The following is a 2,149-nucleotide window of genomic DNA, read 5'->3' as shown; positions in this document are numbered from 1 at the left end:
GATGCTACTAGTTCATTCCTTCCTATGGTACCATGTCAAAAATTAGGGGCTATATATTTATTTATTTTTTGTGATGGAGTTTCCCTCTGTCACCCAGGCTGGAGTGCAGTGATGCCTTCTTAGCTCACTGCAACCTCCCCCTCCCGGGTTCAAGCGATTCTCCTGCCTCAGCCTCCCATGTAGCTGGAGTTACAGGCACCCACCACGCCCGGCTAATTTTTGTAATTTTAGTAGAGATGGGGTTTCGCCATGTTGGCCAGGCTGGTCTCGAACTCCTGACCTCAGGTGATCCAGCCGCCTCGGCCTCCCAAAGTGCTGGGATTACAGGCATGAGCCACCACGCCCGGCCAGGGGCTTACTTATTCCAGGACCAACAGCTTCTTACTTAATAGAGCAAAGTGTTCCAGTACCAGAAACATTTTTCAGTGAGGAATTGCTGACAGGTGCAAAATTATTTTTATATTCTTTAAACAGGACTTGTGGAACCTATTCATCATCCCGAGGCAGGGTGATGAGAGGCTGCTTTAACAACTCAGCTTGTCATTGCCTGGCCATTAGCACAAGTGGAAGCCCCTTTCTTATCTGGTTCCTTTACTTCTCTTAATGGCTACCCAGGAAACTGTTAAGCATCAGTAATTTCACGAGATGTTCAAGGCCCCATCTTAATCTCCCTGACCAAGATTCTGAACAAGCCAGCCTCTAGGAAGCAAGGTCCATTTAGTAAGGTGTATAAAGGAGCAGTTCCTATACCAGGAACTTACATGCTTACTCAGGCCTCCTCAGAAATGCTGAATCGCAGCCTCCTCGGGTGGAACCCAAGATAACTATATCGTTAACAAGCTGTAGAGTGGATTCTGAAGCCCAGCTGCATTTGGGAACCACTGACATAGATTCAGATTAAGGTATAAATTGCATGTTTATGCCATTCAATAGGACGATTTGCAGTAAAAAGGCTGATGCCAGAGTCAGCGTGAATTATTTCAGTAACAGGTTGAATGTATCCCGGTGTTTCTTTCTTTCCATTTTTTTTTTTTTTCAGATGGAGTCTCACTCTGTCGCGCAGCCTGGAGTGAGTGCAGTGGCATGATCTCGGCTCACTAAAACCTCTGCCTCCCAGGTTCAAGCAATTCTTCCCCCTCAGACTCCCGAGTAGCTGGATGTGTGCACCAACACACCCGGCTAATTTTTGTATTTTTAGCTATCTTGGCCAGGCTGGTCTCAAGCTCCTGGCCTCAGGTAATCCGCACACCTTGGCCTCCTAAAGTGCTGGGATTACAGGCGTGAACCACCACGCCCGGCCTATCCTGGTGTTTCTAATATAATCATCATTGCACTAAGGATAATTTAACTATTATCCCACTCTAATATTTGAACTTCTCAATCCATTTCTTATTTTTCAGATATAATAGACTCATACCAGATTCCCCTTATTAAGCTGATGCTGTTTGAAGCTGAATTGTGGCTGCTTGACTCCATTAGTTTTCATTTGTGGCCATCACCTGTCTTATCCTGGGTGCTGTCAGCCATTTGTTAATATTCCCTTGGGCTGGTTGTTGTGTGTTTCAAGTCTCCTGAATTTTACTTCCTGATTTCTATCAATTTGTTGGTAAAAATGTCAATATCCAGTAGATTCAGGACACTAGCAAAAGTGCCACTTAAGATTTTGTTTTTCTTGACCTCATCCAAACATCTCATAGAATAATTCTCCAGCTTTTGCATGCATAAAAATCACCTGCAATGGGAAAAAGAGCTTAAAAACTTTTTTTTTTTTTTTTGGACAGGGGTTGATATGGCTTGGCCCTGTGTCCCCACCCAAATCTCACCTTGAATTGTAATCCCCATAATCTCCATGTGTCAAGGGCAGGACCAGATGGAGGTAATTGGATCATGGGGGCGGTTTCCCTCATGCTATTCTCGTGATAGTGAGTGAGTCTCACGAGATATGGTGGTTTTATAAGTGTCTGGCATTTCCCCTGTTTGCATTCACTCCGTTCTGCCACCCTGTGAAGAAGGTGTTTGCTTCTCCTTTGCCTTTCACCATGGTTGTAAGTTTCCTGAGGACTACCCAGCAATGCGAAACTGTGAGTCAATTAAACCTCTTTCATTTATAAATTACCCAGTCTCAGGCAGTTCTTTATAGCAGCATGAG

Source organism: Homo sapiens, chromosome 1, assembly GCF_000001405.40.
Source record: "Homo sapiens chromosome 1, GRCh38.p14 Primary Assembly".
Taxonomy (NCBI): Eukaryota; Metazoa; Chordata; class Mammalia; order Primates; family Hominidae; genus Homo; species Homo sapiens.
This window is presented reverse-complemented; position numbering follows the sequence as displayed.